This window comes from Homo sapiens, chromosome 10 (assembly GCF_000001405.40).
Source record: "Homo sapiens chromosome 10, GRCh38.p14 Primary Assembly".
In the NCBI taxonomy this organism is placed as follows: Eukaryota; Metazoa; Chordata; class Mammalia; order Primates; family Hominidae; genus Homo; species Homo sapiens.
In genome coordinates, this window is record NC_000010.11 from 115110060 (window position 1) to 115132566 (window position 22507).

Below are 22507 nucleotides of genomic sequence, written 5' to 3' on the forward strand. Positions count from 1 at the left end.
AATGATGTTTTATCATAACATCATTATATCAGTATTTTACCATCCTGAGTTATCAAAGCATATTATAATTTCCAAAAATATAGAAATAAACTGAGGTAGGCAGAACTTTAAGATGGCCCTTTTGACTTTTATCCCTGGTATTACTGTCATGATTATGTTATGTCATTTGTCAAGAGGGAGATTATTTGGGTTTTCTTACTCTAATCACATGAGCCCTTTAAAAGCAGAGTATTTCCCCTGGGTGCTAGCAGAAGAGGAAGCTAAAGACTCAAAGCATAAACTGGATTTGACATGCTAATGCTTGTTTGAAGATGGAGGGAGCCATGCCTGAAAGTACTAGAGAAAGTGGCCTCTTGGTGCTGAGAGCGAGCAACCCCTGGTCAGCAACTGGCAAGAAAGTTGGGACCTCATTCATATAACTGGAATGAACTGAATTCTACCAACAGTGAATAAGCCTGGAAGTGGATGCTTTTCTGGAGCCTCTGGATAACAGCCTAGCTCAACTAATACCCATCTGAGTCTATAGGGACTTCTGTCCTATAGAACTGTGAGATAATAAATGGATGTTCTTTTAAATTTCTATGTTTATGGTAATTTGTTACCAGCAGTAAAAACAAATTTAGGGGCATATTTAGCAATACATAGTTGAAAAAAGTTATTCTGGCTGAATTTCAATGATACTGAGTTAACCAGAAAATTAAATTAATTCTTTAAACATGATGGTCAATTGAGTTTTATTATCTTTAACAGTAATAATACAAGGTGATTGTCATTTATTAATTTAAGCTTTTTATAACACCTTGTGTACCTGTCTTTGATTTCTTTGGTCTGCCATGAATGGTTAGAATTAATGCTCAAAATGTTTGCCATAAGGTTACTAATTGCTGTCTGGATCCACGAAAGGAAGATGCTCTGGCATTTTAGATATCTGATTTATTTGACCCTATTTGATGCACAGTATACTTCCAGTCTACCATTTGAGCCAAAAAGTGAATAGGAGAACTATTTTACAGATAGCATAAAGTTATGAAATGATCAGTAGATGTGATGAAGTTTAGCCAAAAGGGGAAGAGATTGATCTTATCATTAGATAGTAGATTAATTTGAAAATAATGATTACCATGTGCAAGAGAAGTATTCCCTGATTAAAAAATGTTTGAGTTGTATAGTTATCTCAGTAGCTGAAGGGAATGTTGAGGAAAAAATGTATTAATGAGCTAAAATCTTATTTGGAAATATCCTTGTTAGAATTATAGAGCTCAGAATCAGCTGATGTTGTAGTCCATTTGTATTGCTACGAAGGAATACTTGACGCTGGATAATGTGTAAGGAAAAGAGATTTGTTTGGCTCATGATTCTGCAGGATGTACAAGAAGCATGGCACCAGCATCTGCTTGTATTGCGGGGCTCAGGCTGCGTCTACTCATGGCAGAAGGCAAATGGGAGCTGGTATCTGCAGATTTCATATGGCAGGAGAGGAAGCAAGGGGTGGGAGCGGCCAGGCCCTTTTTCATAACCAACTCTCTCAGGAACTAATAGAGTGAGAACTCACTCTTTACTGTGAGGATGGCCCCAAGCCATTCATGAGGGATCTGCCTCCATGACCCAAACTCTTCTCAGTAGGCCTCACCTCTGACATTAGGGATCAAATTTCAGTGTAAGGTTTGGAGGAGTCATATATTCAAACCATAGCAGTTGAGAATTAGGCCTCAAAGTCAGATAGATAATGGTTAAAATATCAACTATATCAATACTGAATTGGAGAACATCTTTTTCTTGTGTGGCCATAATGGGCTAATATTTCACCTCAAAATTAAATTACCCACTCATTTATGGGCCAAGTTAGGCAACTGCTGATCTGTATTGCAAGGTAGGACAACAGTAGTGGAAGATAGTAGTCAGAATGCATTTCCTGTGCCTAAAATAGTCTGACAGTGAATGATCTGATAAAGAAGTTAGGAAAACAGTTCCATTTACAATAGCATCAAAAAACAAAACAAAAAAAACCCAAAAAAAAACTTACGATAAGTTTAACCAAAGAGGTAAAAGATCTATATGTAGAAAACTAGAAAACATTAATGAAAGAAATTGAAGGTGACACAAGTAAATGGAAAGATACTTTGTGTATTCATGAAGTGAAAGAGTATTGTTAAAATGTCTATATTACCCAAAGTAATCCACAGATTCTATGCAATCCTATCAAAATAGAATTAGAAAAAAATCCTATAATTTGTTTGAAACCACAAAAGACCACAAATAGCTAAAGCACTGTTGAGCAAAAAGAACAAAGCTAGAGGCATTACACTAGCTGACTGGTCTTTGAAAAGTTAATGGAAAATGCATATTATGAAAAAACTGCGTGGATTTCAAATTTTTTTTGCACCAAAACAAACTCATACCAAATTGTTATAACAAGTCTGAATGGGATCAAGTTTGAGGCACTAAGGAGGATAAGACATTGGTTTGAAAAGGGCCCCTATCAGAGTAACATAAATTCTGCTAAAATTGAAGCAAGAGCAAACATCAAATTTATGGTGAAGCTTGGGTGGAAGAAGGTGAAATTATTGATGCTTTATGAAAAGTTTAGGAGGACAATGCCCCAAAGTAATCAGCAGTTTATAAATGGGTAACTCATTTTAAGAAGGGATGATATGATGTTGAAGATGAAGCCTGCAGCAGGAGACTATTCACATCAATTTGTGAGGAAAAAATCATCTTGTTCATTCTCTAATTGAAGAGGACTGATGTTTGACAGCAGAAGCAATAGCCAACACCATAGACATCTCAATTAATTCAACTTACTCAATTCTGAATGCAAATTAAAGTTCAGTAAACTTTCCAATCTATGGGTGCCAAAACCACTCGGACCAGATTAACTAGAGATAAGAGCAGAGGTTTTAGTGGAAATTATAAACAAGTGGGATCAAGATCTTGAAGTATTTCTTGGAAGAATTGTAACAGGTGAAGCATGACTTTACCACTACAATTCTGAAGACAAAGCACAATCAAAGCAATGGCTACCAGGAGGTAGAAGGGGTTCAATCAAAGCAAAAGTGGACTGGTCAAGAGCGAAGGTCATGGCAGCAGTTTTTTGGGATGCTAAAGGCATTTTCCTTGTTGACTTTCTGGATGGCCAAAATATAACATCTGCTTATTATGAGAGTGTTTTGAGAGTTAGCCAAAACTTTAGCAGAAAAACACCTGGGAAAGCTTCACCAGAGAGTCCTTCTTCACCATGACAATGCTTCTGTTCATTTCTTTCATCAAACAAGGGCAATTTTGTGAGAGTTTCTATGGAAAATCATTAGGCATCCACCTTATAGTACTGATTTGGCTCCTTTTGAGTTTTGTTTGTTTGTTTGTTTCCTAATTGATATGGTTTGGCTGTGTCCCCACCCAAATCTTATCTTGAATTACCACGTGTTGTGGGAGGGATCTGGTGGGAGATAATTGAATCATGGGGCCAAGTCTTTCCCATGCTGTTCTCATGATAGTGAATAAGTCTTATGAGATCTGATGGTTTTATAAAGAGGAGGTCCCCTGCACAAGCTCTCTCTGCCTGCTGCCATCCATGTAAGACATGACTTGCTCCTCCTTGCCTTCCACCATGATTGTGCATGCTCCCCAGCCACGTGGAACTGTAAGTCCATTAAACCTCTTTCTTTTGTAAATTGCCCAGTCTCAGGTATGTCTTTATCAGCAGCATGAAAATGGATGCTAATACACTAATCTTAAAATGTTTTCTAAGGGCACCTATTTTTCTTCAGTTGATAATGTAAACAAGACTGCATTGACATGGTTAAATTCCTAGGACCTTCAGCTCTTTAGGGATGTACTAAATGACTGGTATCATTGCTTACAAAAGCTTCTTGACTTTGATGGAACTTATGTTGAAAAATAAAGTTTATATTTTTTATTTTTATCTGTTTTTTTTTCCATGAACTTTTAGTCATCTCATAGTTATTAAAACAGCGTGATACCTGCATAAAAACAGACAAATTGACCCATGGAACAGGATAGAGAGCCCAGAAATAAATTCACCTGTCTGCTGTCCACTGATTTTCAACAGAGGCTCGAGGAATACACATTGGAGAAAGGACAGTCTTGTCAATAAGTGATTCTAAAAAACTAGGTATCCAGATATAGAAGAATGAAATTAAACCCTTATCTGATCCCTTATAGAAGAATCAACTCAAAATGGATTAAAGATTTAAATGGAAGATCTGAAACTAAAACAACTAGAAGGAAACATAGGAGAAAAGCTATGACTTTGGTCTGAGCAATGACTTCTTGCATGATTCCAAAAGCACAGACAGCAAAAGCAAAAATAGACAAATGGTATTGAATCAAGAAGCTTCTATACATCAAAGGAAATAACAGAGTGAAGAGACAACCTACACATTGAGAGAAAATATTTGCAAATCATACATCAGATAAGGGACTCATACCCAAGACATAAAATGAACTCAAATCATTCAATAACAAGAAAACAAATAACCCCTATTTAAACATGGGCAAATAATCTGAATAGACATTTTTCAAAAGAAAACATACAAAAGGTCAAAACATATATGAAAACATGCTCAACATTACTAATCATCAGGGAAATGCAGATCAAAACCACAATGGGATGTCATCTCATACCTCTTAAAATGGCTCTTATAAAAAAGATGAAAGATAACGTGTTGGTGAGTATATGGCAAAAAGGGAAGTTTTGTACACTATTGGGGGAAAGTAAATTAGTACAGCCATTTTGAAAAAAAATATGGAGGTTCATCAAAAAACTGAAAATAGAATCACCATATGATCCAGCAGTCTGAGTATATATCCAAAGGAATTGGAATCAGTATGTTGGAGAGATGTTTGCATTCACATGTTCATTGCAGCATTGTTCATAATAGCCAATATTGGGAAACAACCTAAGTGCCCACCAACGGATCAATGGATTAAAAAAAGAGGTATATATACATAATGAAATAGTATTCAGCCTATAAAGGGACAAAATCCTGTCATTTGTGACAACATAGATGAAACTAGAGGCCATTAGGTTATGCAAAATAAGCTAGGCTTAGAAAGACAAATATCACCTGATCTCACTTACATGTGGAATCTAAAAATTTGAATCAATTGAAGTAGAGAGTAGAATGGGGGTTACCAGAAGCTGTGGGTGGTGGTCAGTTGGGCAGGGAAAAGAAAAATATTGGTCAAAGGGTGCAAAGTTTCAATTAGGAAGAATAAGTGTTCTATTATTTCGTTGGCGTTCTATTGTACAATGAAGTGACTAATGTTACTAATTGTGCATTGTGTATTTCATATACTACATTGCTAATAGAGTGGATTTTAAATATTTTTGCTGCAAAAAATATGTATGTGGGGTGATGGGTATGTTAATTAGCCTGATCTGCTCAGTCTGCAATGTATACATGTATTGAAGCATCACATTTTACCCCATGAATATATACAATTATTATTTGTCAATAAAGATGAAATGAAAATAAAAAGGAATTAATAAGCTGATAAATAGTATTTTAACTAGAAAATCTGTTTTTAAAAAAGATTTCTATGTGAAAAAGGCTTACAAAGGCCACCCTGCATAAAGACTATCCCTGAGTGGATCTGACTATTCCTTGTAGGCTGGTTATGCCAGGACTAAACCTATATTCTGTGATAAACAGGATTTATTGTTTCAGAGATTTCGTAAATTAAAACTATCACACTTTCTTATTTTTATAATGTGTTAAGTTATATATCCATAGTCAAATTATATATCCATAGTCAGGATAGACAACAACATCCCACTAGATTTAATTTTAGTATTGTCTAATATTTGTGCTGGTTTTCCTGCATTTATTAGTGGCCAACCTTGTGTTATAAACAGCCCAGCATGCTTTTAATTAAGGACTCTACTTTCAGCTAGAATGAGATATTGACAAGGCATATGGATATGTGGCAGGCATCTAGACAAGTGATTGGCAAACTTTTTCTGAAAAGGGCCAGATAGTAGATATTTTAGGCTTTGTTGGCCAGATGGTCTCTGTTGCCAGTACTCAACTCTGTCCTCGTAGTGTGTTAGCAATCTTAGATAATACTTAAACAAACTAGTGTAGTTGTGTTCCAATAAAAGTTCATTTACACAAACAGGCTAGTAGTTTATGTAGTACTGATCTAGATGAATAAGTCAGTATGGTTCTCAGTTCAAGAAGAGGAATGATAGAAAGTTTAAAAAAAAGTTGTTTGAAACTTGGAATATGTATTAGAAATAATATTAGAAATAGTAGTTATGTAAGAGCCTATTTTACTTTCTTTAGGGAGTTGAACTATGTGCTACCTAATTTCTGGAGAGCACTACACAATTGGAATGTAAGGGTATTAGGAGTAAGAAGTAAAAAAAAATAAATGGAAAACTAGGTGTTTATGGTTAGAGTATGGTCCTGGAGTGCAAGACTTCTGAATTTTAGAAGAACAGTTCTAGACTGTAAAGAGGTCCAAAGTATGTAATGGGAATGCTTTGCCCAAGTGGCATGCAGGTAAAGGTTCTTGGAGTTTAAGAAGAGATCATGAAACTGAAGAAGGAGAATTGTTCTTTCTTTATTATAGAAGTAGCAGGAGATTTCTCCCCTTTACGCATGTCTTTTGGTGGTGAGAAGGAATTTTCCATTTCTTTTACCTTGATTGGTGACATCCTCCCATGCTTCCAGTGGACTGGTATTGGCAAGGAGGAAACCTTTTTGTAGTAAGTGGAGGAAAAGGTGGGCTCTTGGTAAGATCTTTAGTGCTAAGGATAAGGAATTCAGGGATTGTGGTGAGTAGTTTCCTTTTAAGTTTGGGAAATTGTACTACTGAAGTTGAATAGGACGGGACAGGGTGTGTAGTTTTCAGGTACTCCTATTGTTTAGCTTAGGTAGGGAGGCATAACAGTTCCTTCACATCACTTATAAGAGGGAGATAAGGATTACTATGGTAGCTCCTACAATATATGTTTCTTTGGAGGAAGGGGGATATATATTTTTAATTTTTGTGGGTACAGAGTAGGTGTATATGTTTATGGGGTATGTGGGATATTTTGATACAGTCATGCAATGCATAATCACATCATGGAAGATAGGGTATTTATCTCAAGCATGTATCCTTTGTGTTACAAACAATCCAATTATACTCTCAGTTATTTTAAAATGGACAATTAAATTATTATTGACTATAGTCACCCTGTTGTGCTTTCAAATACTAGTCTCATTCATTCATTCATTCTATTTTTTTGTACCCCTTAACCATCCCTACCTCCTCCTCACTTTACCACTACCCTTCCCAGCCTCTGGTAACCATCTTCCTACTCTCTTTCTCCATGGGTTCAATTGTTTTGCTTTTTAGATCCCACAAATCAGTGAGAACATATAATGTTTATCTTTCTGTGCCTGGCTTATTTCACGAAACATAATGACATCCAGTTACATCCGTTTTGTTGCAAATGACTGAATCACATTATTTTTATGGCTGAATAGTAATTCATTGTGTTTATGTACCACATTTCTTTATCTGTTCATCTGTTGATGGACACGTAGGTTGCTTCCAAATCTTGGCTATTGTGAACAGAGCTACAACAAACATGGGAGTGCAGATATTTCAATATATTGATTTCCTTTCTTTTGGGTATATACCCAACAGTGGGATTGCTGAATCGTATGGTAGCTAAATTTTTACTTTTACGAGGAACCTCCAAAGTGTTCTCCATAGTGGTTGTACTAATTTACATTCCCACAAACAGTATAAGAGGGTTCCCTTTTCTCCATATCCTTGCCAGCATTTCTTACTACCTGTCTTTTGGATATAAGCCATTTTAACTGGGGTAAGATGATATCTCATTTTAGTTTTGCTTTTCATTTCTGTGATGATCAGTGATGTTGAGCACCTTTTCATGTACGTATTTGAAATTTGTATGTCTTCTTTTGAGAAATGTCTGTTCAAACCTTTAGCCCATTTTTAAAATTGGATTGTTGGCTTTTTTTCCTGTTGAGTTGTTTGAGCACTGTATATATTCTGGTTATTAATCCTTTGTCAGATGGATAGTTCGTAAATATTTTCTCCCATTCTGTGGGTTGTCTCTTCATGTTGCTGTTTCCTTTGCTGTGCAGAAGTTTTTTAACTTGATGTGATCCCATTTGTCCATTTTTGCTTTGGTTGTCTGTGCTTGTGGGTTATTCCTCAAGAAATCTTTGCCCAGTCCAATATCCTGGAGAGTTTCCCCAATGTTTTCTTGTAGTAGTTTCATATGCTTAACTACCTGTTATTATGCTAGACATTTTATTTGAAAATTATTGATAGAAATAATTTAAGGCCCAGGATAATGTTATCTTTCTTTAGAGAGTACCATGTATCTTCTGTTAGGAGACTTGGCATATTGGCAGTTCTGGCAGCACCATAAGCCGATTTTAAGACTTGGGAGTTTTCTGCTGCTCAGATGACTCATAGCTAACCTACAGTTGAGGTAAAGGCTGGTTAACTTCTGGTACACCACTATTTTAATAGCAAGTCATTATGTCCCAAGTCAAAGTGCCCTGTTGTTTCTTTGAACCCCTATGTTTTGTGGGTTATTGCTTCCAACTTTTGTCCTCCTCTCCCCTTGAGGCTACTAAATGCACTCTCAACCTTTTGGCAGTCTCTTCTAAATAAGCAAATCTCTCAGAACAAAAGCATCTCTGAATGCCTGCCTCCTCTTAAAGAATTTGCAACTTCTGGATCTTGGCTTTGTACATTTTATCATTTTGTTACTTGTAAGATTTTAAAATTGTCCTTTAACTTTTTAAGTTGTCTTCAGTGGAGAGTTTTTCTGAATTACTGCACTTAGTATTAATATTATTGGAAGTGAAAAATCAGGGCAAGTTATTTAACTTGTTACTTAAAATGTGCTTCAGACTTCTCATCTGTAATATGGAGTTATTAATTATTTACTATCTTATAGGTTTTTTGAGATTTTTAAATGAGGCAACACATTGTGTTTATAGTGGTACCTGACATGTAGAAAATGCTTAAGTTATTATTACATTTATTTGAGAATATAGGAATTTGTTGCTCTTCAAAGATTTTCCAAGCATGAATTAGCCACTTTATTACAAAAGTAATTTGCAGGGATTATGAAAGATTTGCAAATGACATTAACATTGACTGACATTTCTGTCAACCCTGATTTAGGTAAATTAAAGTTTTTCCCCCCTAATGTATTTAAGGCTCTATACTATAAGGAAAATTTAATTTTATCTAAAAGTAGATAATGGCCCTGATATGTATATGTGTGTGTGTGTATGTTTATGTGAATATGTAAAAACTGATTAGCTGTGATGTGTGTGTGTTTGCATATATAAGTATAGTATATAAATGTTAAATGGGAAGACATTTTAATTCTTTAAAATATGGTCTCTTGATAAAATAATTGGGCTGGAAGTAAAAAAAACAAAATGAAGCAGAATTGAGATTTTTGTTTTAAAGATTTTTAATTTCTGAAAATAGAGTTTTTCCAAATATCTTTTTCTTTTTTATGCATAAAATAGAAGATACAATTTTTTTTATTTGTCCTGTTTTAAAAATTGAGTTCTTGGACTAGATGTAAAGTAGACAGGAGAAAATGATAATAAAAAATATATTTATAGCAGAACTCTTTCAAGTTTGGTGACACCTATTTTAGCAATACCAGTACATGAAGAAAAAATATAGCTTACATGCTAACTCCCCAAAGTGGAACATACGTATACTTTTTCTCTATTCCATAGATTTGTATTTGATCTTCCTTCTGCCTCAACCTAATTTTTGTGCAGATGAAGTTTAACTTACTCTATTTTGCATCAACATTGAATCCTTCAGTACTATGTTCAGTCTTTCAGTGTCTTTTTTCGCTTCGTAAATTGAAATGGTCATGATATATTAAGATTTAAAGAAATCCAAAATAAGTATCTTTTGAGATGCAGAGAAAAATACAGCACTTTGAAATTTTCCTAAGTTGTAAATAAATCCTCCTTTTTGAAAATTGTTATGTCCCGTTCCTTTGGCTTAATGACTTTTAAATTTTCTTATCCTGCTATATGTCTTAAAGTTATTTTAAGGTAATTATTTTCATTATTTTATTTTCTCTTCCAGGTTAACAGAACCTTCTGGATATTTAACAGATGGCCCAATTAACTATAAATATAAAACTAAATGTACTTGGCTCATTGAAGGCTAGTAAGTATACAGTCTGAGTCAAATTAATGTATTTTATTCTTAAATGATAAAGGTGATCATATTAATGTCAGAGCATTAGAGTATAATTACTTTATCATTTAGTTTGTTTATTATTAGATAATATTTACAACTTCTAGACATCACATTTAATGTAAATTACACTACCTCTTCACTTGTGACAGTAGTTTAATTTTTATATATATTTTGTTTTTGAGTTATGTTATTGTGGTATTAAATTGAGTAGGCATTTTTTTGGTTTATTTTGAACATCTTGTTATGAAATTTGAAGACTTAGAAATTATAAAAGTATTTCTTGCTGAGCTATGCTATTCATATAATTTAGCATTTTAGTTCAAAGGGTATTTTTAAAAGAACATTTTGTAGAAGAGAGAGTTAATTATTCATTTAGAGGTATTTTCAGTAAGTAGGGCTTGAAACAATCTATCTATTTAAATGTATTGTGAATGGAGCATAAAAGAATTGATATGAATTATTTTTGAACTGTTTTGTAATTTCTAAAGAGTATATTTGGAAAATTTTGTATTTAAATTTTTCTAACTTAAAAGCTGTTCATTCTCTGCTGTGCACCTGTAGTTACATTTTGTTTATTTGTTAACATTATATCACATTGAGAATTTTGATTAAAATTTAAATAGTTTTTTAGTGCCTCCAACTTAAGGGTTCTGTAAAAATAAGAATAGTGGCTTCTTGAGTGTTGATTTTTAAAAATCAACTTTATTTAAGTACCATTTGTATACAACAAAATGCACCCATTTTTAAGTGTACAGTTCCATAAGGTTTCAGTGATGTATACAGTCTATGTAACCTCTGCCTTCAATCAAGAGAAAGATTTTTTTTTTTTGAGACAGAGCCTCACTCTGTTACCCAGGCTGGAGTGCGGTGGTGCGATCTCGGCTCACTGCAGCCTCTGCCTCCTGAGTTCAAGCAATTCTCCTGCCTCAGCCTCCTGAGTAGCTGGGACTAGAGGTGCATGCCGCCATGCGCAGCTAATTTTTGTATTTTCAGTAGAAATGGGTTTTACCATGTTGGCCAGGATGGTCTTGATCTCCTGACCTCGTGATCTGCCTGCTTTGGCCTCCCAAAGTGCCGGGATTACAGGCGAGAGCCACTGCACCTGGCTGAACATTTTTTATTGACTACATTTTTAGAAAACAATGATACATACATATGTCCTGTTAATAGATTTTGAAAGTTACATTTTATTTGTACAAATTAGATATGATGGCTTATCAATCTTTCACCCTGATAAGGATTTATAGCAAAATTATCTATAAACAGATTTCTAATAAAATACCCTATCTAAAGTTTCTTCACTCTGTGCTTTGTATATTATATAATAAATATTATGTATTTATTCACTCTGTGCTTTGTATATTTTAATTTGAAAAATATTTCATATTCATTTTCAGTCCAAATGCAGTGTTAAGATTAAGATTCAATCATTTTGCTACAGAATGTAGCTGGGATCATATGTATGTTTATGATGGAGATTCAATATATGCACCTTTAATAGCTGTACTTAGGTGAGTAATTATATTTAATCAGTTGCAGAAAAGTGACTGTGTAATTGCTTCTTTAAATATATATTGATATGTACTGCAAAATAAATTTAGTAAAGATATTGATAGTTACATTTCACAGATGATTATAATACTTTGTTATGTGCTGTAACTGTCAATTTAGGTAATAATTATGTAAATATTGATATAACATAAATAAGTACTATATTGGAAATATAGATTTCTTTCTAAATATTTTTTATTCTCATTGTATTTAGTTTATTCTTTTAAAGTGCCTTGAATATGTTTTCAGAACTATCTGGATATATTAGCGTGAGTTCTAGCTGACAAATAAATAGACAAGTTTTGTTTTTTAATAGTTGTTTTTTTATTTTAGTGAAATGGTAAAATTTTAAATTCTGCATAAAAGGGTTAAGTTATGCTTTGTGCAATGATTAATAAAGATGGAGTTTCTACCAATTGTCAAAATGTGAGAGTTTTATTTGTTTCAAAATATTTTATTGTTAGTCGTAAGGTAGATTATTAATTTTAAAATTATAGCATTGTATCAATTTAAAAATCTTTTCTTGTGTATGTTTAGATTATTATAAAAAGTTTCGTGAATAGGAGAAAATCTATTAGACACAGAAAAAATTATGAACATGTATAGATTTTATATATAATTTAACATGATTGTTGATAAGTTACTCATTATATTATTTACTTTTGCTATTTATACAATATCTGTTATATGTTCTGTCATTGCTGGAAATTTAAGTATGGATAAAAGCTTATTGGTCCCTTCAAAATATTTTCTTTCCAATTTTTCTTTTTATTATTCATGTGGCAAATATTCTATTTCATTCTATTCTAATACATTTTATTTTGTTCTATTTTATCAGGAATGTGAATTATTATTTTGGACAAAAATGTAACGACTTGTATTTCCTTAGGAGCTTAGGTACTTATTCTATGATATTGCTATTGCTTACATTTTTGAGTCATTTGAACATTAGAAAAAGGATAGCCATAAGCAGCCCTTCATCTAAGGACAATAGAGAGAAAATAGAGTGGAGCCTTGCAAATAATTAGGTTGTAAGATAATTTATTGTAACAATTAAATTTGATCCTCAGTTCATACATTTATTTTTAGCAATTTAAACATCACTTTGCTATCTTTACTCTATTTTTATGATACCGTTGACTGACCATCATTTAGATGTGTGCCTGTTCATTTGTTTGTCTAGTAATTCTAATTACTTTGTATTAATACTCATCCATTAGCATTCTTACCAACATTTTCTTGTTATTAAAGGAAGATAATTAGCAGGTGAGATTTAGTATATGGCTGTGAAGATGGAATTAGTGATTTCTCATTAGCAAGTGTTCTTGTTAGCCCTCCTAAGGGAAATGGAAAACTCATGTTTATTGATATTGAATATCCACTTGATGTTAAGCACTAGGCTAGGCAGTTTAAATGTCATCTAATCCTCACAAAGATCTCGTTGGGGGAGTACTAAGTACTATTATCCCCATTTTACAGTTGAGAAAATTGACATTCAGAGAAGTTATTTGCTTCTAATAGATGGTAGAGCTAGGATTAGGACTTGAATCTCAATCTCCTGATTTAAAAGCATATGCTGTTTGTACTTCATCTTGCTAAGAATTCAGAATCTAATATGTTTGAATTACTTCAATTGTATAAATATTTATTACTCAACATTTAATTACAGAGACTGTGTCACAGGCTTAGAGTACATAGTAAGGAAGAAGGCATAGGCTATCGCAGTGGCTTTAGACACCAACTACCTGCAGTTGGGCTAGAACAGATTTCCTAGGTTAAGAGCACAGTCCTCTACAACAAGGGTCTCCTCTCCACCCCAGATCCCCGTACCAGTCCATGGCCTGTTAGCAACAGGGCTACACAGTAGGAAGTGAGTGGCGGGCAAGTGAGCAAAGCTTCATCTTTATTTACAGCTGCTCCCCACTGCTTGCATTACTGCCTGAGCTCCACCTTCTGTCAGATCAGCAGCGGCATTAGATTGTCATAGGAGTACAGACCCTACTGTGAACTGTGCATGTGAGGGATCTAGGTTGCTCATTCCTTATGAGGTTCTAATGCCTGATGGTCTGTCACTGTCTCCCATCAGCCCCAGATGGGACCATCTAGTTGCAGGAAATCAAGTTCAGGGCTTCCACTGATTCTACATTATGGCGGGTTGTATAATTATTTGATTACATATTACAATGTAATAATAATAGAAATAAAGTGCATAATAAATGTAATATGCTTGAATCATCCCAAAATCATCCTCCCCCGGTCTGTGGAAATTTTGTCTTCCATGAAACTGGTCTCTGGTTCCAAAAAGGTTGGGGATTGCTGCTCTATAACACTGCTGTCATTTCAGACACTAGCTGCAAGCTTGGTGCTCCCCACCTACTCTGACCATCTGGCTACATATTTAGGGGTTCCTACTCTGTCCTAAAAGTTTGATAATTCACTAGAATTATCATAGAACTCAGGAAAGTTCTACACTTATGACTATAGTTTTATCATGAAGGATAGAAATCAGAGCCAGCCAAATAAAGGGATGCATAGAGTGAGGTCTGGGAGGATCATAAATGCAAAGCTTCTGGGTCCTCAGAATGTGTTACCCACCCAGCACATCAACATGTATCACCAACAGGGAAGCTCATCTGAGCTTCAGGTGTCCAGAGTTTTATTGAAGTTTCATTATGTAGCCATGAGTGATTGAATCATTGGCCATGAGGCTGAACTCAAATCTCCAGCCCCTCCCATCCCCTTCTCTCTCGGGAAGTTAGGCTAATACCATATGGCCCCAACATTTTAATCACATGGTTAGTGTTTCTGGAGTGGCCATCCCCTATTCTGAATTATATCTTTAGCTTAAATTAATTAGGGGCCCACCATGAGTCACCTCATTGGCATAAATTTTCAGGGCTCACCATGAATAGGAAGACACTCCCATCACTCAGGAAATTTCAAGAATTTAGAGGTTATGTCCCAAGAACTGGGGACAAAAGCCAGCCAAATTCTTTAGTATGCAGTAGTCATGCATTAGTGGGGGTATGTAAACAGATTTTTCACACAGCCTAGTTAGTGTTACAATCAGGTTATGAAGGAGTTCTATATAATTTCAAAATAAATAACTAATCCTTCATGTTGACTTTCATCGTGAGTAAAAGTATGAAGTATGGGGGTCAGATAGGACATTCTAGGGAGAGAAAAGCATATATACAAAGGTATAGACACATTAAAGAGCATTATATTTTAGGGCAATAGTTGAAAGTTTTGAGTAACTTGATTGTAGGAACTGTGAAGGATACGTAGGAGTCACATTACCCCAAAACAGCAATCAGTGACATTTACTTAGTGCTCATTTTGTGCCAATGTACAGGAGTTCTTTATATGCATTAGTTTATTTAATCCTCAAAATAACCTTTAGGTAGGTATTAATATTGTAATTTTACAAATGCAGAATTGAGACACAGAGATTTTCTGTGAGTGGCCCGAAGGTTGCCTAGCTGGTAAGTCAGAATATGAATCAAGGTTATGTAATTATAGGTCCTAATCCCTTAATCACTGTAATATTGCTTGCTTGTACACCACACTAAAGAAGTTGGGCTTTTATTCTGTAGGCAAGAGTTTTTAGAATGTGGAGAATGCATTGGAATGGAGAAGTGTTATTTTTTTTTTTTTTTACTGTGTGCTGGACAATTGTGTGTTGGACGTTGTTGTTTGGAAAATCATATATAGTAATAATTTGAGGCCTAGAAAGATTATATTCTTGCAGAGACTACCTGGGGACACTCGCAATCCATATTCAACTCAATCCAAACTCAGATACTGAGGTGATTCATAGCTCAGCTGCAGTGCAGTCCTTTGGAGGGCCTAACTTTAGGTAGTTTGCTTTCACTTCCAACCATTGGAGTCCCAGTTCAACGTGAAGGCCTTGTGTTTCACTTTTTCTTTCCTTCATTCTGTAAAATCCCTGAAATTACCACCGAGTTTTTTTTAGCCCTTCAAATCTTACCTCCAGCCTTGAAATCAGCAAATGCCAATAGGGTAAATGACCTCAATGCCTGGGCAGGCCTTCAAGCTGATTTTTTTGTTTTTATATAATTTGTCATTTTACTAGATTTCAGTTGGTCCGAATTTCCTGGTGTATTATACAGGAAGTGGAAACTCTCTTTTATTTATTGTTTTTAAAATACTTGTAAACAAAAAACCAAACAGATCTATTCTTTTTTGTTTGTTTGTTTTTTTGAGACGGAGTCTCGCTCTGTCACCAGGCTGGAGTGCAGTGGTGTGATCTCGGCTCACTGCAACCTCCACCTCCCAGGTTCAAGCGATTCTCCTGCCTCAGCCTCCCGAGTAGCTGAGACTACAGGCATGCACCACCGTGCCCACCTGATTTTTTTGTATTTTTAGTAGAAATGGGGTTTCACTGTGTTGGCCAGGATGTTCCTGATCTCTTGACCTCGTTATCCGCCTGCCTCCACCTTCCAAAGTACTGGGATTACAGGCATGAGCCACTGCGCCTGGCCCAGACCTATTCTTTTTATCTTTTTCAGAGAGCGCTCAGAGACTAGCTGTATCTATTATAAAGACCTATTTTTAGTAATACTCACCTTTATATAATTTTATTACAATGAACAATATGTATGTATAACTTAAGACTGGTGTCATAGGGTTTGTATTGTTTTGAGAGTCTCATTTTAAAATCATTTGTTGCTTCACAAACATAACCTAGTAGATGTAATAATAATTACTAAAGCGTTAAATCAAGAGTTGATTACTTTTTAACTTGTTTGCATTTGAGAATGTATTTTCTAAATCAATTATTTGACTATAATATTTCATTTATGTGTCAAATATGATTTGAATGGGGGAATTCAGTTCTTAGTGGTACCTAAACATAATTTTAACTGTTTAAAGGAATTGACCGTGTCGAGTTATATAATTTGTTTGTTAGCAGCTTCTTTTCTTTCACCAATTGCATGTTTTCATAGATTTAGAGAGGTTAGAACATATAACTAAATGAAGATAGGTAATTTTCCTCATGAACAAGTATCCTTAAAAAGAAGTACAAGTTACCAGTTTAAAACTATTTTGTACATTTATATCTCCCCCACCCCAAGTTTTTGTTTGTGTGCTTATGGGCTTATGTGAGCAATATTCTGTCTTGGAATAGTTATATATTAATGCAATTTGCATAGATATGCAAAATTAGAAAAACATTAAAGTCTATATAGTTTTAAATTTTTTGAAGTAAATATTTTAAATCACCTAGATAAATGTATTGGAAATGTACAGCTATAACTAGAATGTAATTGTAATTGCTTAACTGATGTAGAGTGTCTTCCAGCTTCATCGGATTTTTAAACCAATCAGAATGAGTAAAGGTACAGGGTTTTATTAGAGTAGCAAGGTGACTTTAAGTGAAGTTTTATATGAATTAAGTGGAAGACTACCCTGTAGTATTATGACAGGATGGATAGCAGGACAAAAAGGAGAAATGAGACATTGCCTTACAAATAGTGATAAGAAAAAAAATGGGGTACAGTGGCATGAGAGTAGATTTTAGTGTATTGGCAGCAGTAGTAGAACTAATTTAGTGAGAAATGGATAGGGACTTCTTTTAGATGTATTCTCCTTTTAGTTGCCCATTCTGACGTACAAGCATTACTGATCCTGGTAAGAATATTTCTGAGTAAATTTTATGTGCTTAACAGTCTTATGTATATCTATACATACAATATTCAGTTTTGTTCTCTTTTAGTGGTTTGATAGTCCCTGAAATAAGGGGCAATGAAACTGTGCCTGAAGTTGTTACTACATCTGGCTATGCACTGTTACATTTTTTTAGTGATGCTGCGTATAATCTAACTGGTTTCAACATTTTCTATTCGTAAGTATTTTTTAAAAATTCCTTCTTTTAATGATTCTTGTAATTTAATGTAAAAGAGGTTTTTTTTGTTTATTTTTATTAATGTCTTGTATACCAGAAGCAGGCTACCGTGTTAAATTTCAAATTAGTAGGCAGGATCCCTTCTTAAGTGACATAAAATCTTAATAATATGCCACAAAACGTGATCTAAACCTATAAGTTTGGTTGAAAATTAATTATGAAATTGACAATTGTTTTTTGGCAAGTGATTAAGTAAACAAGTACTAGTGTAGCTTTACTGGTAGCAACAGATGTGGTGAGACTGCAGGGAGTTGTGAACTGCCTTTCAGTGCTCTAAGGTATATCACTTGTAATTTGAAGAGGATTATGGGAGCTAAGTTTTTGTAGTCCCTATTGCAGAGACTGTACTGAAAGCTATGCATACATTATGTCATTTAATTACCTTCAATTCTGTCAAGTGGGTATATTTCCCATTGACACATGAGGAAATTGTGGCTTAAGAGTTAAGTGGCTATACCACTATCTCCTCTAAAATAAGAAAAGTAATATTCATTGAGAATCTATTATATGCCTGATACTTTATATACATTTTTATATCTAGAAGACTGAGGGTGAAGTAATGAGAGATGCTTTCACAGGAATGGCTAGAGAGGAAGTCTATATATTATTTTTTTCTTTTCTTCAGAATGTAGAAATTGGTAACCAGAGAATTTTTCACCAGAAATATTATAAATATCCTTGAATCAGCAATTTATTATGGAATTTATTTATCCTACAACGTATCCAAGTATGTATGCAAGGGAGAACAAATATATAGTAGAATATAATCACATGGTGGCTCACGCCTGTAATCCCAGCACTTTGGGAGGCCGAGGCGGGCAGATCACGAGGTCAGGAGATCAAGACCATCTTGGCTAACACGGTGAAACCCTGTCTCTACTAAAAATACAAAAAAATTAGCCAGGCATGGTGGCGGGCGCCTGTAGTCCCAGCTACTCGGGAGGCTGAGGCAGGAGAATGGTGTGAACCTGGGAGGCGGAGCTTTCAGTGAGCCGAGATCGCACCACTGCATTCCAGCCTGGGCGACAGAGCGAGACTGTGTCTCAAAAAAAAAAAAAAAAAAGAGTCTTAAAGCTAAATATGATAAACATACCTTTTCTTCAATAACAGTGTATGGGTGATAGCATGCTCTTTTATATTATACAACCAAGTTATATCTTGACTTCTCATATAGTTTTGAATTTTCATGAATTTAATTTTTTTCTGTAAAATATACAATCAAAACATTGAGTACTTAAGTCTTTACAAAACATTTTGCCTGGAACCGTACAGATCCTGCAGATGTTGAGCATGTAGTCGTTAGACATTTGGAGTCTTGGTATCAAAGTAAATCTGTTGAATAAAATAAGACCAACTGCAAATAAATACTAACAATTTCATAAGAGTAAGAGGGTACAGAGTAAAGAATTAAAACTACATTGTGAAATTCTGTTACATTTATAAGCACATAGGACACAGTATAAAAATTATAAAGTTTATGATGTATCAACCAAAATTCTTTTTCAATTACCTTGAATCTGAATATATATGAATTATATTTTACAGAATCAATTCTTGTCCTAACAATTGCTCTGGTCATGGGAAGTGTACAACTAGTGTCTCTGTTCCAAGTCAAGTATATTGTGAATGTGATAAATACTGGAAGGGTGAAGCTTGTGATATTCCTTACTGTAAAGCCAATTGCGGCAGTCCAGATCACGGTTACTGTGACCTGACTGGAGAAAAATTATGTGTCTGCAATGATAGTTGGCAAGGTAAGCATGTGTGGTGTGATGGCTTTTGAAACATTGATTCATATATGTAATAGATTAATACAAATTCCACACGTTTGTTTCGTTATAGTTTGCACACCCAAGCCTTATATATTTACTTTTATTTTTAGAATGTTCAGATTAATAATCAACTTCTTAATAATTTTTTTGTCACAAATAGAATTAATTGGCAAAGATTTTGTCTCCATACTACTTTGAAGATCAAATGAAGTTATATATGAAACTGAATTGTTAGGTGTGTGATAATTATGGTCTTCTGTAATTTGTTGTTGAATCTCCCCAAATTTGGTGACTTCACTGAATTTAATGTGGTGCATTCAAATTTGATTTATAAGGGTAATATAAATAGTATACTACAAAAATAAATGTTCAAAGGGACTGCAGTATATGAAACTTATTTCTTAGGAAAGGCTGACATCTTGTGGCTATTTTAAAAAGAACTAGACTATTTTTAAAAGTATTTTAGCTGCCTATTGCAGAAGTCAGATACCTAGGAAAGAATTTCTAAGTAATTTTTATAAATATCTATCATCAAAGATTAAGTTTAGACTACAGTGAAGAATGTTGGCTTATTTATCTGTATATAAAATAATAAATATTGTCATTATGAAATTAAGAGATATGCTTATACATATACCTACCCACCTAGAGCTTACTTTTTGCTAGTTACATTTACCTATGAAGAGCTTCCTTTGTGCCAACATATTAATCCTGTTGAAATAGGGAAATTTGACTCAATAATTACATAACCTGAAGTACTTGATTATGTATTATTATAACACAGTGTAATAAATAGTAGCAATAGTTCCCAAGTTAAAAACCAAAGAGAACATACTCTTCATGAAGTTGTATTCATTATTCCTGAGATGACCTTTTCAAAAAAGTGTTGTTGGGTATGTTGAGTACTTACTTAGAGGAATTATTTTAGGCTTTGTGTAAATTATGCCTGTCTTAAGCTCATGTTAGCTCATTAAAAAATATTAGGTATGTCAACTGCACAAAAGATCTATGATTTCTTATTAAATCGAATTTGGTTACCAATTGCAATTATGTCAGATGCAAATTTCTAAATGTTTTGTAATTACAGGGACATGTATTTTAAGTGACTCTTTTAATCATTTATGACTTTTCTTCCCCCCAAAAGTGCCTTGAGATGTAATTTTATTTTCATTTCTGTCGTGAAACTAAAATAACTGTCTTTTCTATAGAGACAGTGGTGTATCCATATTATATTTGATTTAAGGCCTGAGAAATAGAAATATAGCTCATATACACAGTATTTTTCAAACTGGTCTTCAATTGCTATTAGTCTCCACCTCATTTCAGCAGTCTTAAAAGCAAATGAGGAATACATTTGTATAACATTCTCTGTGAACAACTCTGCCCCTTTTCTGTTTTTTACTTACTTTCATTAGTCCTTCTTTGAAATGCTTTATTTTGTGTAAGTCTTGTAATATAGATCTGATTCAAAGTATTAAGAATTTTTTTCTGGCCTTTGTTTTTTGGCCTTTTCATATCCTATTATTCTCATCTGTAATGTCCCAAATCATAAGAATTCCTGAATCTAATATGTCTATAAGCAAATGGAAATGAGGAAGCAAATACTGGGTATGTTCACTTTTAAAGCAAAGTTATATTATCAGTAGTCTAAGAACTACTTGTCTGTGTGTGTGTATGTGTGTGTGTATGCATATATACACATATATTTATAACTACATATATATTTTATATGGAGAATAGTGTGAAAGTGCTTTGTAAATTATAAAACGCAGAAATAAGACAATTTTATACCATTTTCTTAATAATTAAGGAAATGATTTCTGAATTGATATGTTTGAAGGAGGCCTTGTAAATGAGATAATATGGTGTTTTCAAGACAAATTATGTGCAGACTGGTTACTTTGTGCCTCAAACTGATCCTGATTCTGTATTTAAGGAAGCATAGCTCCAAAGAAGGTAGGATTGTGAGCAAACTCATTTAGGGGAAAATGATGTTTTTATTTCAGATATATATAGAATGGGAAGGAATCAGTGAGGTAAGAAGAGGAGATAGATTTGCTTCTAGGACAAATGGGGAATGATCAAAGAATGAGAGACATGTGAAAATGCGGACTGCCGAGGCAATCTTTATGAGGTTCAAAATCTGGTAGTTTTATACAAGGTGTTATTTGGAACTGGATTATTTAGGTTAGAGTAACAGATTGTTGTTACCTCCATTATATTTTATCCTTTGTTGTTGCTTGACTACTTATTCTGTTTGGCTGTATGCCTAATGTATATTTTTTAAAAATGAGTGTTACCCTCTAGAAACTTGGGTTTTATTAAGATAACACAGAGGAAAAACCTAGCTTTATATTAAGTCCTTTTTTTATTTTTATTTTTATTTTTTTATTATACTTTAAGTTCTAGGGCACATGTGCACAACGTGCAGGTTTGTTACATATGTATACATGTGCCATGTTGGGGTGCTGCACCCATTAACACGTCACTTACATTAGGTGTATCTCCTAATTCTATCCCTCCCCCCTCCCCACACCCCACAACAGGCCCCAGTGTGGGATGTTCCCCTTCCTGTGTCCAAGTGTTCTCATTGTTCAATTCCCACCTATAAGTGAGAACACGCGGTGTTTGGTTTTTTGTCCTTGCGATAGTTTGCTGAGAATGATGGTTTCCAGCGTCATCCATGTCCCTACAAAGGACATGAACTCATCATTTTTTATGGCTGTATAGTATTCCATGGTGTATTTGTGCCACATTTTCTTAATCCAGTCTATCATTGATGGACATTTGGGTTGGTTCCAAGTCTTTGCTATTGTGAATAGTGCCGCAATAAACATATGTGTGCATGTGTCTTTATAGCAGCATGATTTATAATCCTTTGGGTATATACCCAGTAATGGGATGGCTGGGTCAAATGGTATTTCTAGTTCTAGATCCTTGAGGAATTGCCACACTGTCTTCCACAATGGTTGAACTAGTTTACAGTCCCACCAACAGTGTAAAAGTGTTCCTA

The 22507-nt window shown here is 34.3% G+C and overlaps 1 protein-coding gene across 10 annotated transcripts in view; it reads left to right on the forward strand.

Annotated features, from left to right (window-relative positions):
• ATRNL1 (attractin like 1) overlaps positions 1-22507 on the forward strand; it is an 855635-nt gene that overhangs the window by 16695 nt on the left and 816433 nt on the right. For 8 of the 10 annotated variants that reach the window (NM_207303.4, XM_011539587.2, XM_011539588.3 and 5 more), the window contains exons 2-5: positions 10126-10209; positions 11640-11753; positions 17534-17662; positions 19268-19476. In NM_207303.4, the coding sequence (NP_997186.1) occupies positions 10126-10209; positions 11640-11753; positions 17534-17662; positions 19268-19476 (536 nt within the window). Of the gene's footprint in view, positions 1-4560; positions 4689-10125; positions 10210-11639; positions 11754-17533; positions 17663-18347; positions 18450-19267; positions 19477-22507 lie in introns of those variants that run through there. The other 2 variants (NR_074088.3, XM_011539591.3) reach the window with 2 other exon arrangements.